This window comes from Homo sapiens, chromosome 19, assembly GCF_000001405.40.
Source record: "Homo sapiens chromosome 19, GRCh38.p14 Primary Assembly".
Classification (NCBI taxonomy): Eukaryota; Metazoa; Chordata; class Mammalia; order Primates; family Hominidae; genus Homo; species Homo sapiens.
In genome coordinates this window covers 6,013,432-6,030,982 of record NC_000019.10, presented here as the reverse complement: position 1 = coordinate 6,030,982, position 17,551 = coordinate 6,013,432, and the positions used below count along the sequence as shown (strand labels likewise).

The 17,551-nt window shown below is 50.5% G+C and overlaps 1 protein-coding gene and 1 long non-coding RNA gene across 8 annotated transcripts in view, besides 2 other annotated features; one reads left to right on the top strand and one right to left on the bottom strand.

Annotated features, from left to right (window-relative positions):
• Nucleotides 1-17,551, top strand: part of RFX2 (regulatory factor X2) — a 117,337-nt gene that overhangs the window by 79,518 nt on the left and 20,268 nt on the right. For 4 of the 7 annotated variants that reach the window (XM_017027107.2, NM_000635.4, XM_047439196.1 and 1 more), the window contains 2 exons: nucleotides 4,746-4,820; nucleotides 14,712-14,893. In XM_017027107.2, coding sequence (XP_016882596.1) covers nucleotides 4,746-4,820; nucleotides 14,712-14,893 — 257 coding nt within the window. The remainder of the gene's footprint in view (nucleotides 1-4,745; nucleotides 4,821-14,711; nucleotides 14,894-17,551) is intronic. The other 3 variants (XM_047439198.1, NM_134433.3, XM_047439197.1) reach the window with 1 other exon arrangement.
• RANBP3-DT (RANBP3 divergent transcript) overlaps nucleotides 10,620-17,551 on the bottom strand; it is a 41,961-nt gene continuing 35,029 nt past the window's right edge. Inside the window, exons 3-4 of the long non-coding RNA NR_046376.1 lie at nucleotides 11,040-11,147; nucleotides 10,620-10,933 (exon numbers count right to left, since the gene is read on the bottom strand). This is a non-coding gene — a long non-coding RNA (RANBP3 divergent transcript). The remainder of the gene's footprint in view (nucleotides 10,934-11,039; nucleotides 11,148-17,551) is intronic.
• Nucleotides 12,096-12,597: an enhancer, noted in NCBI's record as "H3K4me1 hESC enhancer chr19:6018397-6018898 (GRCh37/hg19 assembly coordinates)". NCBI's record gives its function as "activates a minimal SCP1, AML or CMV promoter by ChIP-STARR-seq in primed H9 embryonic stem cells {active_cell/tissue: H9 hESC(primed)}" and the evidence as "EXISTENCE:reporter gene assay evidence [ECO:0000049][PMID:30033119]".
• Nucleotides 15,474-15,973: an enhancer, noted in NCBI's record as "H3K4me1 hESC enhancer chr19:6015021-6015520 (GRCh37/hg19 assembly coordinates)". NCBI's record gives its function as "activates a minimal SCP1, AML or CMV promoter by ChIP-STARR-seq in primed H9 embryonic stem cells {active_cell/tissue: H9 hESC(primed)}" and the evidence as "EXISTENCE:reporter gene assay evidence [ECO:0000049][PMID:30033119]".

The following is a 17,551-nucleotide window of genomic DNA, read 5'->3' as shown; positions in this document are numbered from 1 at the left end:
TTCTGATGAGGTTGGTGGTGATATTAATGAATGTGATTTCTTGACACTATGTAATGAAATGTGGCAATGTCTGGAAGATCTGCAAACTCAGTAAACTCATGTTTTTCAAGTGACCAGTATATGATGTTACAAAACCATACCCATTAGTAAAATACTCATTCAAGTTGCAAGGGAGACTAAAATTACTTTTTGAAATTAGTTATATGTATATTTTTTATTGAGATAGAATGTATGTAACATAAAATTCACCATTTTGCAGTGGACAGTTCAGTGGCATTTAATACATTCACAGTGTGGTACAATCACCATTATCTAGTTCCAGAATATCGTCATCACCCTGAAAGGAAACCCCATCCCCACTAGCAGCCACTCTCCATTGTCCCTTCTTCCATCTCCTGACAGCCACTAATCTGCTTTCTGTCTCTAGGGATTTGCCAATTCTACATATTTTATGTAAAAGGAATTATATAATATATAGTCTTTTGCATGAGGCTCATCCATGTTGTAGCCTGTGTCAGAACCTTATTTTTTTGTGTGTGGCTAAATTATTCCATTGTATGGATGGACCACATTTTGTTTATCCATTCATCTGCTCATTGACATGTGGGTTTTTCCGCTTTCTGGCACTTTGATTAAGTCGTTTCACTGCCCTCTGGCCTCCATGGTTTCTGTTGAGAAATCAGCCATTACTCATATTCTGGATTCTTTGTTTGTGACGCCACTTCTCTCCTACTGCTTCTAGGATTCTCTCTTTGTCTTTGCCTTTCAACAGTTTGATTATAATGTGTCTTTGGTGTGGATTTCTTTGAGTTTATGCCACTTAAAGTTTGTTGAGTGTATAGATTTAGTTTAGAGTGTATAGATTCATGCCTTTCATCAAATTTGGGAAGTTTTCAGCCATTACTTATTCAAATAGACTTTACCACTTTCTCCCTCTCCTCTCTTTCTGGGACTCCTATTGTGTGTTTGTTGGTAAGCTTGGTGGTGTCCCACAAGTTTCTTAGGCTCAGCTCATTTTTCTTCATTCTTTTTTCTTTCCGCTCCTCAGACTGGGTAATCTCAATTGACCCATCTTCAAGTTCCCTGATTCTTTCTTCTGCCTGCTCAAATCTGCTGTTGAACCTCCCCTAGTGAAGTTTTCATTCCAGCTATTATACTTTCAACTCCAGAAATTTTATTTGGTTCCTTTTTACAATTTCTGTCTCCTTATTGATATTCTACTGGTGAAACATCACTCTCATGTGTTTTTTTGTTGTTTTGTTTTGTTTTTGTTTTGATATGGAATCTCACTCTGTCACCCAGGTTGGAGTGCAGTGGCGTGATCTCAGTTCACTACAAACCCCGCCTCCCAGGCTCAACAGTTCTCAGGCCTCAGCCTTTCAAGTAGCTGGAATTACAGACGCCCACCACCACGCCTAGCTAATTTTTGTATTTTTAGTAGAGACAGGGTTTCACCATGTTGGCCAGGCTGGTCCCTGAACTCCTGACTTTAAGTGATCCACCCAACTCACCCTCCCAAAGTGCTGGGATTACAGGTGTGAGCCACCACACCCAGCCTGTCATGGTTTTTTATAGTGCTTTGTACATGATTTCCTTTAGCTCTTTAAGTATATTTTATATAGTTGATTTAAACTCTTTGTTTCATAAGTCCAGTGGCTCGATTTTCTCAGAGATAGTCCTATTTATTTATTTCTACATATGGGCCATACTTTCTTTTTTTTTTTTTGCGTGCCTCATAATTTTTGTGGAAAACTGGATATTTTGAATAGTTTAACATGGTGACGCTGAATATTGGATTCTTCTGTTCTCCCCAGGGTTTGCTGTTGCTGCTTATAGGTGTTGTTGATCGTTTGTTTCATGACCTTTCTGAACTAATTTTGTAAAATCTGCATTTTTTTTTTTTTTTGAGACAGTCTCACTCTGTTGGCCAGGCTGGAGTGCAATGGTGTGATCTTGGCTCACTGCAATCTCTGCTTCCCGGATTCAAGCGATCCTTCTGCCTCAGCCTCCCCAGAAGCTGGGATTACAGGCATGTGCCACCACACCCACCTAATTTTTTTTGGTATTTTTAGTAGAGACAGGGTTTCACCATGTTAGCCAGGCTGGTCTTGAACTCCTGGCCTCAAGCAATCCACATGCCTCAGCCTCCCGAAGTGCTGGGATTATAGGCGTGAGCCACCGTGCCCGGCCAAAATCTCTATTCAGTTACCTTAGTGGTCAGCTAGTGATCTGACGAAAATTTCCTTAAATGCCAAGTTTCATCTTTTTTTTTTTTAATTAAGGGTTCACCTGTTTGCCATAATCTTTTAATTCATTTCCAGAGTTCTGATAAAGTCGATTCTGACAATTTTTGCCCATTTTTTGACTGCTTTTGTGAAGGGATGGGTTCTAGAGTTCCTTACTCTGCCATTGTCATGGATGTCAGCTCAAGATTAATGGATTTTAATGTAACTGAGGATGAAAAGCTCGTTGATATGGTTTCAGATTCCACATTGCAGCTAACCTTTAAGAAATTACCAGCTGTCAAGTGTTGCTATAGTATCAAGTAAAAATATCCCCAGTTATCTGAAAAGGCTATTAAAACAGTGCTCCTTTTCCAACTATATATCTGTGTGAGGCCAAGTTTTTTCAATGTACTTCAACTAAAACAGTATACAATAACAGATGGAGATACAGAAGTAGATGTGTAGAGTTGTCTTCTGTAAGTCACGCACTCTACAGATTTGTGAAGATGCGGAATCATTCCACTCTTCTTTTGGTTTTGTTGTTTTTTTTTTTAATTTGGAAAGTGTACCTATTCTTCAAGTGTTAACCTATAATGGGTTTATTATTTTTTAATGAATTAATACATCTTTTTAAAAATTATCTATTTTGATTTCTAATAAGGGAAATAATACATTTAACTTTTAAAAACAAAAGCAGGCAGGGTGTGGTAGCTTATGCCTGTAATCCCAGAACTTTGGGAGGCCGAGGTGGGCGGATCACTTGAGGCCAGGAGTTCAAGACCAGCTTGGCCAACGTAGAGAAATCCCGTCTCTGCTAAAAAATACAAAAATTAGCTGGGTGTGGTGGCACATGCCTATAATCCCAGCTACTCAGGAGGCTGAGGCATGAGAATCACTTGAGCCTAGGAGGCAGAGGTGGCCCTGAGCCGAGATCACATCACTGCACTCCAGCCTGGGAAACAGAGTAAGACTCTGGCTCAAGAAAAAGATAAGTAAATAAAGCTCTTTTTCAGGGGTGGGTGGTGAAATCTCAAAATTTTGTAATAGTGTATTTTTTAATAGACCAAATGATTGAGACCCACTATGTTGGAGAGACAGTGTTTTCTTCTCCTTCCCAGTCTGCTGGGCACTGGACAAGGCCCCCTGAGATTAGGGCAGACTTCCAGAGGTCATGCACTCTGCTCTCCCGGCACCCATAGGTGAGCGATGTCCCACAGGGAAGGTGCCACAGGGCAGTACTCACGTGGCTGCCCAAGCTGCAGATCAGAATGGCCCCAAGACATGGGGGTGGCATGTGTGTTTTTTCTATCATAGAGGTGGCGATTGCCTTCTCATCGCCTGCACCCTGAGGCTGATGGGTGGGAGAGGTCTCACCATCCTACTTTCCCCTGGTCCTCCAGTGTACCTTCTGCACTTCTTAAAGGTGACCCTGACGTCCTCCTTGGCTTGAAGCAAGGGTAGCTAATGAGAGAAGGCAGAACCACCGTGGTCGGAGGCCGTGGGAGAAGCAGTTACCCTCTCATTCTTGAACTCAGCTCCGCTCGCCTGCTCTCTGAAATACACACTCAACCTGCTCTTTGCAGAAGTGTCAAGTCTTTGGCCTCCTTAAGAAAGGAAGCATATACTTCAAGTTCATCTCCTCCCGCTTCAGTCCTCTGGTCGTCAGGGTGGGCTGCAGCAGATTTTACGTCGCTGTTTTCCGTGTGCGAGTCTAGGACAAACCAAATGCGTGCGAATGCCTTAGTGGCCACGCACAGCTGTGTGCCTCCTCCATCGCGTGGACCTGCCGCCCACCTCCCTCCCCACCTCCATCAGGTCCTTCAGGATCCAACTCAAAAGCCCCTTCCTCCAGGAAGTTCTGCTGTTAGCTGCCCAACTCTTTCTTCCAAAACTCTTTTCTCTTTTCCAAAAATCTTCTTCGCACAGCTCCCACTGGGTAAACATTCGCCAGACAGTGTCCAGTGGCCCTGGATCCTACGGCCTCCTGGTGGCAGGGTCTGAGTCTTTGGCCTCGCTGCTATTTTCCCAAAGCCTCCAGCAGCGGGGAGACCCTGGGATTTGCGACAGGACAGCCTGGCTGGGGAGTCAAGGCTGCCATCTCTCCTTGCTTTCATTCTGGTTCCCCATCGATGTGGCGTGGGGAAAGGAGCAGGTGACTATGATGCTGGCTTGGCTGACACTGGAATGGATGCAGTGGCTGCATATTAATGCTACGGCGTGCACACACATATGCCAGGTTAAAGTTCAGTAGCAAGTTTTTACAACATGATTTCTGCTGCTTCTGTTGGACGGGCTCTCGGGCTTACCTACGTGTGCGAAGCAACACTCCCTACCGCAGCTTTCATGCACAATTTAACTCACCCCCGCCCTGCCTGCGTGGAGCCTCATTTTTATTTTGTAGGAGCTCGAATCATTATTTGGATATTAATAAAAACAAATCTTGGCTGATGCTAACCATCTGATTTCCTTTTTTTTTTTTTCCATTTTGTTTTGTTTTGTTTCTGCACACATTTTCTTTAGCTTGAAATGGCGATTGAAAACCTCCAAAAAAGCGAAGGAATCACATCACACAAAAGCGGTTTACTCAACAGCCATGTAAGTGTGCGTCTGACCTGGCAACCTGTCCCTGCTCTGCTTGTAACCTGCATAGACATTTTTAAGACAAATGAAGGCAACCAGGTGCGGTGGCTCACACCTGTAATCCCAGCACTTTGGGAGGCCAAGGCGGGTGGATCACTTGAAGTCAGGAGTTTGAGACCAGCCTGGCCAACATGGTGAAACCCCGTCTCTATTAAAATAGAAAAATTAGCTGGGCATGGTGGTGGGCGCCTGTAATCCCAGCTACTTGGGAGGCTGAGGCAGGAGAATCGCTTGAACCCGGGAGGCAGAGGTTGCAGTGAGCCGAGATCACGCCACTGCAGTCCAGCCTGGGCAACAGAGTGAGACTCCATCTCAAAAAAAAAAAAAAAAAAAGAAGAAGACAATAAAATGACACCTTTAAAGTGTCATTTGTGAAAGGTGGTTGAGGGGAAGCCAATCTAGAATCCTACATCCAGCAAAAAATACCCTTCAGCAATGAAGGAGAAATCAAGACAGATTCTTTATTTGTAAAAGGTAGATAATAACAACACCTACCTCCTCGGGTTGTCATAGGGAGTAAATTATTTAATGTACGTAAAATACTTTCAACAATACCTGGCAGGTGATAAGCAGTATAGTTATATATGAAAAATAAAAACAATACAAAAATCAGCAACAGCAACAAAAAAGAGAGAAAATGACATAGGATCGGGAATGCCTTAGACTCTTAGCTAATTTTCTTGGGATCCTCTCTTGGAAAGAAACAGTAATTTGAGAAAAGCATAAAGCAGCTAATTCATACAGATTTTAGCGTCTAGGATTTTTCTCCTCCCCTTGTCTCTTGGGAGAAGACCGTGATCACAGTCCCCATGACAGGAGGTTGGGGGCATCTCAGCTCTGCACAGCCCTGTAGCAGGATGGGACTGGGGGACGTGGCAGGCTCCGTCTTTATTTCCAGGGACAACAGAGAAGGAAAGCTCTGGCCCCCTCAGACTCATCGCTTTCACTTCTCCCCAAACGCTCTTGATTCGGTTTTGCACATAGCTGGAAATGTGTTCGGCATCTTAACACTGGGACGGGCCATCGAAGTCAGAATGTCCTTCTAGTAGTTGCTCTCTAGCACTTAAACTGGGCTCTGACATTCTCTTGAGAATTCAGACATCAGAGAAGAAGTCCCCTTCAGTGGACCCCAGTCATCACCGTGATCCCGTCCTGACTCCCGTCCTCACCGTGATCCCGTCCTGACTCCCGTCCTCACCGTGATCCCGTCCTGACTCCCGTCCTCACCGTGATCCCGTCCTCACTCCCGTCCTCACCGTGATCCCGTCCTCACTCCCGTCCTCACCGTGATCCCGTCCTCACTCCCGTCCTCACCGTGATCCCGTCCTCACTCCCGTCCTCACCGTGATCCCGTCCTCACTCCCGTCCTCACCGTGATCCCGTCCTCACTCCCGTCCTCACTGTGATTCCATCCTGACTTCTGTGCTGGCCGATGTGTAAAATGAGGCGTTATCAAAAGGCAGTGAGTGATTCTGGGGGCAGAAAGTGATGTAGGACAGGTCCAGAAACCTGGGTTATGGGTTAGGTACAGGTGTGGTCACCTGCTCACCGCAGCCCCTGACGAGGCCTCTGCCCTTTGCCTCAGGGGGCTGGTCACTAGAAGAAATGGCAGAAATATTTCCTTCTGCCGATTGTCTTGAAGCAAAAAAGACAAAACAAAACAAACACCATGCCAGACCCCTGCTCAGTGCCCCGCCCCTCTCCAGGCTGGGTAGGACATGGTCATCCTGTCATCTGTCACTGCTGGATGACATCCTCCCTGTAGATGAACTCAGGGAGAAGGGAGTCTTCCACACGTGCTTGGAGAGAGGATCTCCCCAGCCCCCAGTCTTAAACTCAGAGCACATACATGGGAAAATGTGCAGAATACCATTCCCCATTCAGCAAGGATCAGGCCATCTTCAGCCTGAACGCAAACCCATGCGGGTCCAGGGTATCAGCCCTGGGCGAGAGGGCTGCGTGACCCAGGCAGGATGGGGGTGCAGAGCCTGGACAGGCAGCAAGTCCACGGGAGAGTTAAAATGTCTATGGGAAAATGGGCTGGGCACGGTGGCTCACGCCTGTAATCCCAGCAGTTTGGGAGACCAAGGCGGGTGTACCACTTGAGGTCAGGAGTTCCAGACCAGCCTGACCAACATGACGAAACCCCATCTCTACCAAAAATACAAATATTAGCCGGGCGTGGTGGCACATGCCTGTAGTCCCAGCTACTCTGGAGGCTGAGACAGGAGAATCGCTTGAACCTGGGAGACGGAGGTTGCAGTGAGCTGAGATTGCGCCACTGCACTCCAGCCTGGGAGACAGAGCGAGACTCCATCTCAAAAAAAAAAAAGAAAAAATGTCTATGGGAAAATGCATGAGCCGCTTGTCTCTGGCTGCTGGGATCCTTCCTGCTTTCTAACACTTCATCCGAAAGGCAGACTTTCTCAGGTCGCTTCCCCGATGAAGATTCGTATTCCCGAGCTGAAGGTAAAATCTCTCGTTTCTTTTACTCACTGATGATTCGCTGTTGAGTTGTTTCCTTCTGTCATGAGCTGTGATCAGTAAGATTCCGGGCTTGGTGACTCGAAGCAAAGGAAGTAAAATAAGATCTTTCTAAAAAGTTCACCACACACACGGGCAGAATAAACTTAGATCTTGTTTTGGCAAATGTGAGAGCCAGAGAGGAAGAGAGGAGTTAAAGCACGTGATCTGCTGATGGACGGGGTGACGTGCCCTTGCAACGATTGTCCCCAGGGCTGCCTGTGGCTGAGACTGAGGTCGTGGTGGGCAGCGGCCTTCTGCAGGTCAGGCGGGGGCACAGCCACAGTGCCACCTCCCCTGCCAGCCTGACCCTGTGGCAGATAAGCCAAGTGTGTGGGAGCAGCTGGGCCCTGGAGACCCATTTTCCCAGTGGCCTCCCAGACCTCCCTTCTCAGACAGCCCCAGGCAGGTCGCCCCAGCAGCAGGGCCTGTGCGCCTCTTCCTTGCTGCCAGCTGGTGACGTCAGACCACCGTCTACCGTGTGCAGGGTTCTGGCCAGGTCAGTGCCGAACATAGGGAGTAAAAAAGGAGGAAAAGTCACTCCAGGGAGCTTAGCATTTGAGGGCAGAAGGTGGAAGACGTGGGAAACCCACCTAGGGAACCCCTCACAGACATCTCTGAGCGGAGCTGGCCACGTGTTCCGCGGAGCTGGTTCCCTCCTCTGCGCTGTCTCAGGAGGGAAGGTGTATTCAGGTGCTGGGAGCCTGGTAAAACGAGACAGCATTGTCCAGACCCAGCCGGTCAACAGGAGCTTCCCAGGCCTCCCCTCTAGGGGCTTGGACCCAGGGGGTCTGCAGGGCCTGGAGGTCTGCACATTGGAAGAACCTTCCAGCCAGCTGATGGTCAGCCTGGCGTGGAAACTCCCAGGGAGGAGGAGGCCCCCTAGCAGTGTCCAAACTGGAAAAGGGCATGATATGGCGCCGTGAAAATGGGGATTAGCTCTTCCAGAGGGAAGGGGACGGAGCCGGGGCTGGGGATGAAACATGTCTTCACCCGACCGGGTGTGGCAGGCCACCGACTTGAGCAGAAGAGGCGGCCTCAGCCCCTGGGGGCCACCGGGCTGCCCTCAGGCTACCAGCCGACCGGGACCCCGTAGCAGGTTCACCGAGTCTCTGTCACCATGAGGTGGCGCTGTCTGCTAAAGTAAACACATCACTTGCACACCCTGCGGGAGAGAGCTGCGTGTGGAAGAGTCGTATTTGGGTTATGTGACTTTTTGCTTTGAAATCAAGAAACACACATTGTCAAAGGTCATTTAGCCTTCAGCTGGTGACCTGTGTAGCCTGGCACGATGGCCGTGCTGTCCTGCAGGCCACAGTGGGGTTGCTAGAGCCGGCAGCTCCTCAGAAGGGGCCTCTGTCCAGAAGTGCCGCTGTTTTCCCTTGGAATTCCTGCCTGCCTCGGATTAGTGTCTTAGCTCAGTGCGTGGCCTCCACCCTCAACAACCCCTGCGCCTCCCACAACCCCTGCGCCTCCCGCCCACGGTCCCATCTGAGGCAGGGGCAGCCAATCTTCCAGGCGCTCGGCCCCCAACCCCACTGCGTCCTCGCCTCCTTGCTCCTCTCATGCCCACCCCCAGATGCTCTTCAACCTCACCTTCAAGAAAGATCCAGAACCAGGTGGCACCCCCCACCTCCTCCACTTCGACTACTTCCCGAGCCGCCACTGTCCCTGTGGATTCTTTCGGCCACCTCCTAGCCAGCCGTCAGCACCCACCCCTACCCAGCCTCCAGCCCCTTCTCACAGCAGCCACCAGAGTGATCCTGCTAAAACCCAGGTCAGATCGCCACACTGCTCTGCTTGGAAGCCTCCAGGGCTCCCCTTGGCCCTCCAAGTAGAACCGAGTGTTGTCAAAATGGCCCACAAGGCCCTGCAGGACCCGCTCTCTCCCACTCCTCACTGTGCTCCAGCCACACGGGCCTCCTCGCTATTCCTCCAATGCACCAGGCTCGGACCTGCCCCAGGGCCTTTGCACTGTGGGGCCCTCTGCCTGAAGCTCTCTTCCCCAGGCTCCCCCTCACCTCCTCTGAGTCTTCACTCAGTGGGCACTTTCTCAGTGAGCCCTGCCTGACACCCCCACCCCACCTCAACTTACTATACCGTTGCAGTCCTCCCTCCAGTCCCTCCGTGGCGGCGACCCCATCCCCTTTCCCAGGTGAATTTCTCTGACGGCACTCGGCATCAGCCCTCATTCGGTTCATTTTACTTATTTATTGTGGGTCTCTGCCAGACAAGAACGGACGCTTCCAGGGGGCAGGGGTTTTTGTCTTTTATTCGCCGTTGCATCCCCAGCACCTAAACAAGGCCTGGCATAGAGCCAGCTCTCGTAAATATTTGTGGAATGGGTGAAAAGGTGGATGTTCCAAGTCGGATTATGTCAACACAGGGCACACCTGGACGGTTGGAATAGCTGCCCGAGCTGCTAGTGTATGGCCCGGTGAGACTCTAACTCACCACCAGGAGCCAGTGTCAGGCAAATTTGCCCCCAGGAATAGAAACAAGTATCTTAGGAGACAAAGGGGGCCAGGTAGGTGGGCATGATCCCTGCCTTCCCACCGGCAGGTGAGGATATCTGTCCACAGGGGCTGTGCCTGCAAAGAGCCCAGAACCACAGGCCTTTGTTGGGGGGCCGGGGAGAGGGAGGCGCTGGCATTTCGGGATTTTTTTTCCTTAAAAGGAATGATTTGATCCATTTCATCAAGAAGTGTGCTGTCCTGACAGATTGTGGCAAATGTGGGTACACATGTACATTTCCTTGGAAAGCGTTCTGCTTATTTGTGTTTGATATTGACACAGAAAGAATGCAAATATCAGCAGACAAAGCAGACTGCAGAACATGCCCAAACCAGAAAGGTGACTCCGTCCAGCTGCTGCCTTTCCTGGCATGAAGGTACCCGAGCCCTCAAGAGCAGGGGAGGTGGGCGAGTGTGGTTGGAGCGGCTGGACCCTCGTGGTCGGTTTCACGGAACTGACCTGTGATGCTTGCCGCAGTCTGACGTGCCGCCAGGTGTGGGCTCCAGCACCGAGGGATGGGAAGGCCCGGTGCATAAGTGGCTCCCAGCCTGCTGGTGAGGCGTAGACCCTGAACAGAGTCTGCAAGCCATACTTCGGTTCTAACCCCATTCTCCTCCCAGAAGTTCATCAACACAGAAGAGGGAGGAAATAGACGCGACTGTTCCAGCCGCTTCAGTCTTCTCTGTGGTTTCTTGATGTTGAGCAAGAAGGACTTGCTGTCAAGACAACTATGCATCCTTTTAGTGTCAATGTCAACGTAATTACCCAAGCAAAGGATTCTACTCTTAAATAGCCTGGGGGTTCGGGGGTAAACAGCAGAAGGATCATCTGTTCCAAAACTTTCTTTTTATGTGTGAGCCAGTATGTCCTCCTGGTGGATGGAGTCTTATACTCTAACCTCTCAGGACTCCTAGTCCAGTGCTCCTTCCAGCTCACCGCCCGCAAAATCTGGCCTCACAGTTTTAGCCTGAAAATCCGCATCGTCATTTGGCTCCTTGAGATGTGGTGTCACTGGCCTTGGCTCCTGCTGCCTGTGGAGGACAGTCTAAGAAGTGGCACCTGTGCCCCCAGCCTCAGAATGACCAAGGGAAGCCTCTGGCTTCTTCACCCAGACACCCTCTGTTGCTCCCCATCTACCTCCTTGGACAGTCTTTCTCTGCTGCCAGGCTTGAGACATCTCCAGGATCCTGCAGATGCTCACATGGGCAAACCTGGCTCCGTCTCCACCCTCAGGGAGAGCATAGTCTGCGGGGAACAGGCGATAAATCAATCAGCACACATGACAAATCCGGACGGTGAAGCCACTGGGAAGAAAAGCTTCAGGGCCCACACTGCAGCTCCCGACTGTCATCCCAACACTTCTGGAAGCTGAGGCAGGAGGATCACTTGAGCCCGGGAGTTGGAGGCTGCATGAGCCATGATTGCACCACTGCGCTCCAGCCTGGGGTGGTGACAGGATGAGACCCTATCTCTAAATATATATATATATATATATCCCTGTCTCTAAAAAAAAAAAAAAGTATATAAAAGTATATACACACACACACACACACACACACACACACACATACTCACACACTAACTTCAACATCAAGGTTGTGGTTCATAGTATTCATAGCATTAAATACAGGGAAGACTCCGGAGCTCTTAAGCTCTTAAGGGTCCAAGCACTCTGCCAGAGCCGGACTTTGGAGGAGAAAAAAGCAACACTGCCTCCATTGTATTGGAAAAAGTCCAGTCCAGAAAGTCGGAAGATGAAGGGTGTGAATGACTTGATGGAAAGTGAAAACTCTGATGTCCCTTTTCCCAAAGAGGCAAGTGAGGAAGAGATGAAGTCTCCACTCCGGGCCCTTCTCAGGGTCCTTTGTTTTAACTGCCCCTTATTCAAAGGACAAGAGGGCGGGGGTCCCTCCCTGTGGTTATGGGCACAGCCAAGCACATGGCACCCAATGCTGGACGGATGAAATTGGCACCTGCTAACGATGGCAACTGCTAACGATCACCTGCACTCATGGCGGGGGGGTGGGGGACACTGCACTTCACACAGGGCCCTGCAGGCGGCAGGAGGCAGACTTTGTGGTAGCAAGAGGGCGAGGGGTCCCTGGTGCTGAGGAGGAGGTGATAGGCTACTTGAGTGATTCAGGGGCGGCCAGGGAACCGGAATCCAAGCTCAGGGATTGTGGCAGGAACCACTCCTGTCCCTTTGGTAAGGAGGGATGTTTGGCCACGGGACTTACCTGCAGGAGCAGAGCTGGAGGGGAGCTTGTGGTCAGGAGGTCTGAAGCCCTCCTGGCTTGCCCCAGAGGCAGGACGTGAGGTTGGACCCACACTTCGAGGCTTACGCTTTGCTCCTCTTCATCCTCAACACCCACGTGGGCAGTGCCCCTGCTGGGTGACTGACTCTTCCCACCCCTTGGAGGTTTTGTCCTCAGCTCTTTGGTTCCAAAGTAACACATCTGGTCCCAATCTCTACCCTGAACTCCAGCCCAAGACTTAACTTCCCCCTTCCTAAAATGGAACTCAGCCCCGCAGCTCACCTGCAATTCGGCTTAAGAGACCTCCGCGTTCAGGCCCCACACACCCCTTCACCTGAACCTTTGACCTGTTTGTCCTCCTGTGAAACGTTCCAGAACCCAGGGCAGGTCCTCACTCCACTGTGGCCCTGGGTCAACCCCTGTTAGGGCTGGAGGGGCCAGGACAGGCTGGATCGAGTGGGTCTTAGATGAGATAAAAGGGGTTCTGAGGTGCTGGTCGCTGGTGCAGGGCTCGTCAGAACCACCCCATAGCACTATTTCATAAAAAGGAGATGAAGGCCGGGCGCGGTGGCTCACGCCTGTAATCCCAGCACTTTGGGAGGCCAAGGCGGGTGGATCACCTGAGGTCAGGAATTCGAGGCCAACATGGCAAAATCCCATCTCTACTAAAAATACAAAAAACATAAGCCAGATGTGGTGGTGCATGCCTATAATGCCAGCTACTCAGGAGGCTGAGGCAGAAGAATCACTTGAAGCCTGGAAGTGGAGGTTGCAGTGTGCCAAGATTGCGCCACTGCACCTCCAGCCTGGGTGACAGAGTGAGACTCCATTTCAATAAATAAATAATTAAAGGGAGATGAATGCTTTCTTCCTCCCCAGCTTCTAATGCTGAGTTGGGGGGGTGGGGATGGGGCAAACAGACAGGCAAACGTGACAGTGGGGCGGGGGGGTGCCATGGGTACGCTGTGGTGAGTGGACAGATATTTCCCAGGGGACACGCCTACTTTGTGTCTTGTGGGGTGTGCGGGGCACAGGGACAAGGGCTTCCCAGGCCAAGGGCTGTGCAGGAGCCCAACATGCCCGGTGGGGGAGGGCTGAGGACCCAGCACTGCCCACTCTGAAGGGCCCAGGCAGCAGGAGCCCTTCGGAGCTCTGGAAGCGGGGCTCAGCCTAGACAAAGCAGCTGACAGCCTCGCACAAAGGGGACCAGGTAGAGACAGCTGGTTTCCCCCGACGCTCTTGACATGGGATCTGGACTCGGGCCTCGCTTCTGTGCGTGGAATTCCTGTCTTTCTGCAAATCGCAGGCATCAGTGCAAGCCTTTTGTATTCACATAGCAGACCTCTCTGGATCAGGGGACAGACGATAGCAGAGGGAGAGGTGGAAACCAGAATTAAGCCGCAGTCTTTAAGGCACCTGGGTGAGGGCATCAGTTGGTGGGCAGGCCACCTTTGCGTCCATGCCCAGTGTGGGGACTGAGCTCTTCGTGTGGACAGTTCTCGCAGCCCTTCTAACTGGATGTTCACCTCTCGAGGCATAGTCCTTGGCTCGGGACTCATTTAGCCCATCTTTTTGTTTTGTTTCGTTTTTTGAAAGAGACGAAGTCTTGCCCTGTCGCCCAGGCTGGAGTACAGTGTGGCGCGACCCTAGCTCACTGCAGCCTCAACCTCCTGGGCTCAAGCAATCCTCCCACCTCAGCCTCCCAAGTAGCTATGTCCTGCCTTTTGACTTAGACACAAAACCGTGCATATAAGCATTTGTGTATTTTACTGAATTTCCATTTGTACCTCCCTCAATAAGGGATCTCAGTACATGTTAGCTCACTGCTCACTACAGAACACAGGGCTGTGGGGCCCCCGAGTCTTCTTCAATCTTCCTGTTCAGCAACAGAATTTCTCTCCATTCCTGTATGTTGGGGAGCGATTTGGTGTTAAAGCCTGTGTGGTGTGTGGGTATTTCATTTAAGGGACTGAAGACAGAAGCTAATAGTTCCTGATCACACCCAGATGTTTACAAATTAAGTCCAGGAACCTGAAAACCAGGCTAAACATGAAAGAATCAATAAGCAAAAGAAAATGAGGGATTCATTAATCTGCTTAGAGAACTCAAATCAGTGACCATAAAGATGGATTTCTGGCCAGGCACGGTGGCTCACGCCTGTAATCCCAGCACTTTGGGAGGCTGAGGCAGGCGGATCACCTGAGGTCAGTAGTTTGAGACCAGCCTGGGCAACATGGTGAAACCCCGTCTCTACTAAAAATACAAAAACTAGCCAGATGTGGTGTCGGACACCTGTAATCCCAGCTACCTGGGAGGCTGAGGGAGGAAAATTGCTTGAACCCAGGAGACAGAGGCTGCAGTGAGCCGAGATTGCGCCACTGTACTCCAGACTGGGTGACAGAGCAAGACTCCGCCTCAAAAAGAAAGAAAAGATGGATTTCCTCATCCCATTTGGTAACACAGGGAACGCAAGTAATTCTCTTAATGAGTCCACGTTGGCATGTTAGCGTTCCTCAGGCTTCTGACAAACGCAGACGTGTCTTTCTTTTTACAGCTCCAGTGGCTGTTGGATAATTATGAAACAGCGGAAGGTGTGAGTCTCCCCAGAAGTTCTCTTTACAACCACTACCTTCGGCACTGCCAGGAGCACAAGCTAGACCCAGTGAACGCCGCCTCCTTCGGGAAACTGATCCGTTCTGTGTTTATGGGGCTGAGAACGCGGCGGCTGGGCACCAGGTGGGTAGACGATCCCCAGCCCACCTGTTCTTCCTCTTCCTTTCCCAAGAAATGGAGCTTTTGGGAAAATGCGAGGCTTCCTCCTCCTTTCCAGGTGGCCTGATTCGCAGCCACCTCTGGAGTGCTTGCAGTTACTTTCAATTGGCGGCAGCCTTGGCTGTGGCCAGGTGTAGCCCACGGTGTCGGCTTTAGAAGCCGGTGATAGGACGTGGGGATCACTCTGGTTTTCTCTCTCCTTTTGAAATTTCCCAAACAATACTTTTCTTTTTTTGTTTTAGAGCAGCCTCTGGGCCAGGTGTGGTGGTGCACACCTGAAATCCCAACAGTTTGGGAGGCCGAGGCAAGAGGATCACTTGAGACTAGGAGTTCAAGACCAGCCTGGGCAACATAGCAAGACCTCATCTCTACAAAAAAATTAAAAATTAGCCAGGCATAGTGGTGCACACGTATTTGCACACCTGTAATTTCACCTATTTGGGAGACTGAGAGGGGAGGAGCACTTGAGCCCAGGAGGTTGAGGCTGCGGTGAGCCACGATTGCACCACTGCACTCCAGCCTGGGTGACAGAGCAAGACCCTGTGTCAAACAAACAAACAAACAAAATGTAGCCTCTGGTTTATCCAGCAGAGCTGGATTTACCATTTCTCAGTGTTTTGTTTTTGAGACACAGCCTTGCTCTGTCACCCAGGCTGGAGTGCAGTGGCGTCATCTCGGCTCACTGCAGCCTCCACCTCCTGGGTTCAACCAATTCTCCTGCCTCAGCCTCCCAAGTAGCTGGGATTTACGGGCCCCCACCAGCACGCCTGGCTAATTTTTATATTTTTAGTAGAGACAGGGTTTCGACATGGTGGCCAGGCTGGTCTCAAACTCTTGGCCTCAAGTGATCTGCCTGCCTCAGCCTCCCAAAGTTCTGGGATTACAGGTGTGAGTCACTGTGCCCGGCCTCTTGGTGTCTTTTGCTGTACCTGGACCAATCCACCCCGCCTTCTCTTGGCCTATGGCAGCCCCGGGACATCACAGGCCACAGACTTATCACAGGCAATTATGCCAACTCTCCTCTAACAGAAAGAAACAGCAGCACCTCCAACCCAAAGCTGGTGGCCCAGAGAGTGCAGTAGGCTGCTGCCTGCTGAGGCTGTGATCCTGTGGCCAGCGAGGCTTGGCATCTGCTTTTGTGGGGTTGGGGCTGACTCACGTGCTCTCAAAGCCGGTGTCCTGGCTGTCTATAAACGGCGTGGCGGTGGATCCACGAGGACCAGAGTCCCTTATTCTCTGACACTTTTTCATCCTTCACAGGGAATGTCCTTAGGGAATGTGGATGCGTAGAGGAGGGACAGAAGCGGGAGGAAGCCACAGGGAAGCCTGGTCTCTGGGGACACAGCCCCTGCTCCTGGAGGGGCCTCCCCTGCAGAGTATCCCAGCTGCTGGCTTCAGGATTAAGGCTGATTTCCCCCCGTTTTCCCTCCTCCGAGCACCTGGCTAAACATGTACCTCATCTAGAAAGGGCCCAGGCTGTCTGCTATTGCAATGAAATTTAAAAAGGAAAAGAAGGGCCGGGCATGGTTGCTCACGCCTGTAATCCTAGCACATTGGGAGGCCAAGGCAGGAGGATCACTTGAGGTCAGGAGTTCAAAATCAGCCTGGCCAACATGGTGAATCCCCGTCCCTACTAAAAATACAAAAAAATTAGCCAGGCATGGTGTCACATACCTGTAATCCCAGCTAATCGGGGAGGCTGAGGCTGGAGAATTTCTTGAACCTGGGAGAGAGGGAGGTTGCAGTGAGCCGAGATCGCACTACTGCACTCCAGCCTGGGCAACAGAGTGAGACTGTCTCAAAAATATAATAATAAGAGAAAAAGAAAGAAAGAAAAAGAAAGGACCCAGGTGCTTCCTGCATGTCCCTGTTGCCAGCTCTGGAGAAATGGCATCCTGTGAGCTGGGTGTCTCCACAGCCATGTCTGTGGGTTAATGCTTCCCTCCTGTAAGGACTCTGTGAGCTGTTTTCTGAACTAAATTGTTTAAAGCCCTCTGATCATCATTCTCCCGTAATAAACTAATGTAATGGTTCCCAAACAGTGCCTTATTCCAAAACGTGTTACTAGATGATTGAAGGGGGTGGGGAAGAGTTGTTAATAATAATGGTAATAATAATGGAGATAAGCCATGTGGAGCTCAACAAAGCTGACCTGGTGTTCTCAGCACAGGACTTGTCCGAGCCTTTATTATACTAGCCTGTGAGAGAGGACTCTCTATGACAACGGCATTATGTACAGAATTCCTTGATCACATTCCTCACACAGTTCAGGAAATGCTGAACCAGAGAGGCCAAAGTGAAAGGTCAAGATCCGAGTGTGGTGGCACACGTCAGCTACTCAGAGGCTGCAGCAGGAGGATCACTTCTACCATCCGAGTGTGTTGGCACACGCCAGCTGTCCCAGCTACTCAGAGGCTGAGGCAGGAGGATCACTTGATCCCAGGAGGTCAAGTGATAGTGACCTCCTGGTAGTGACCTCCTGATAGTGAGCTGTGATTGCACAACTGCACTCCAGCCTGGGTGACAGAGTGAGACCCTGTTTCTGAAAAAAAAAAAAAAGAGAGAAGAGGCCAGGCGCAGTGGCTCACGCCTGTAATCCCAGCACTTTGGGAGGCCAAGGCA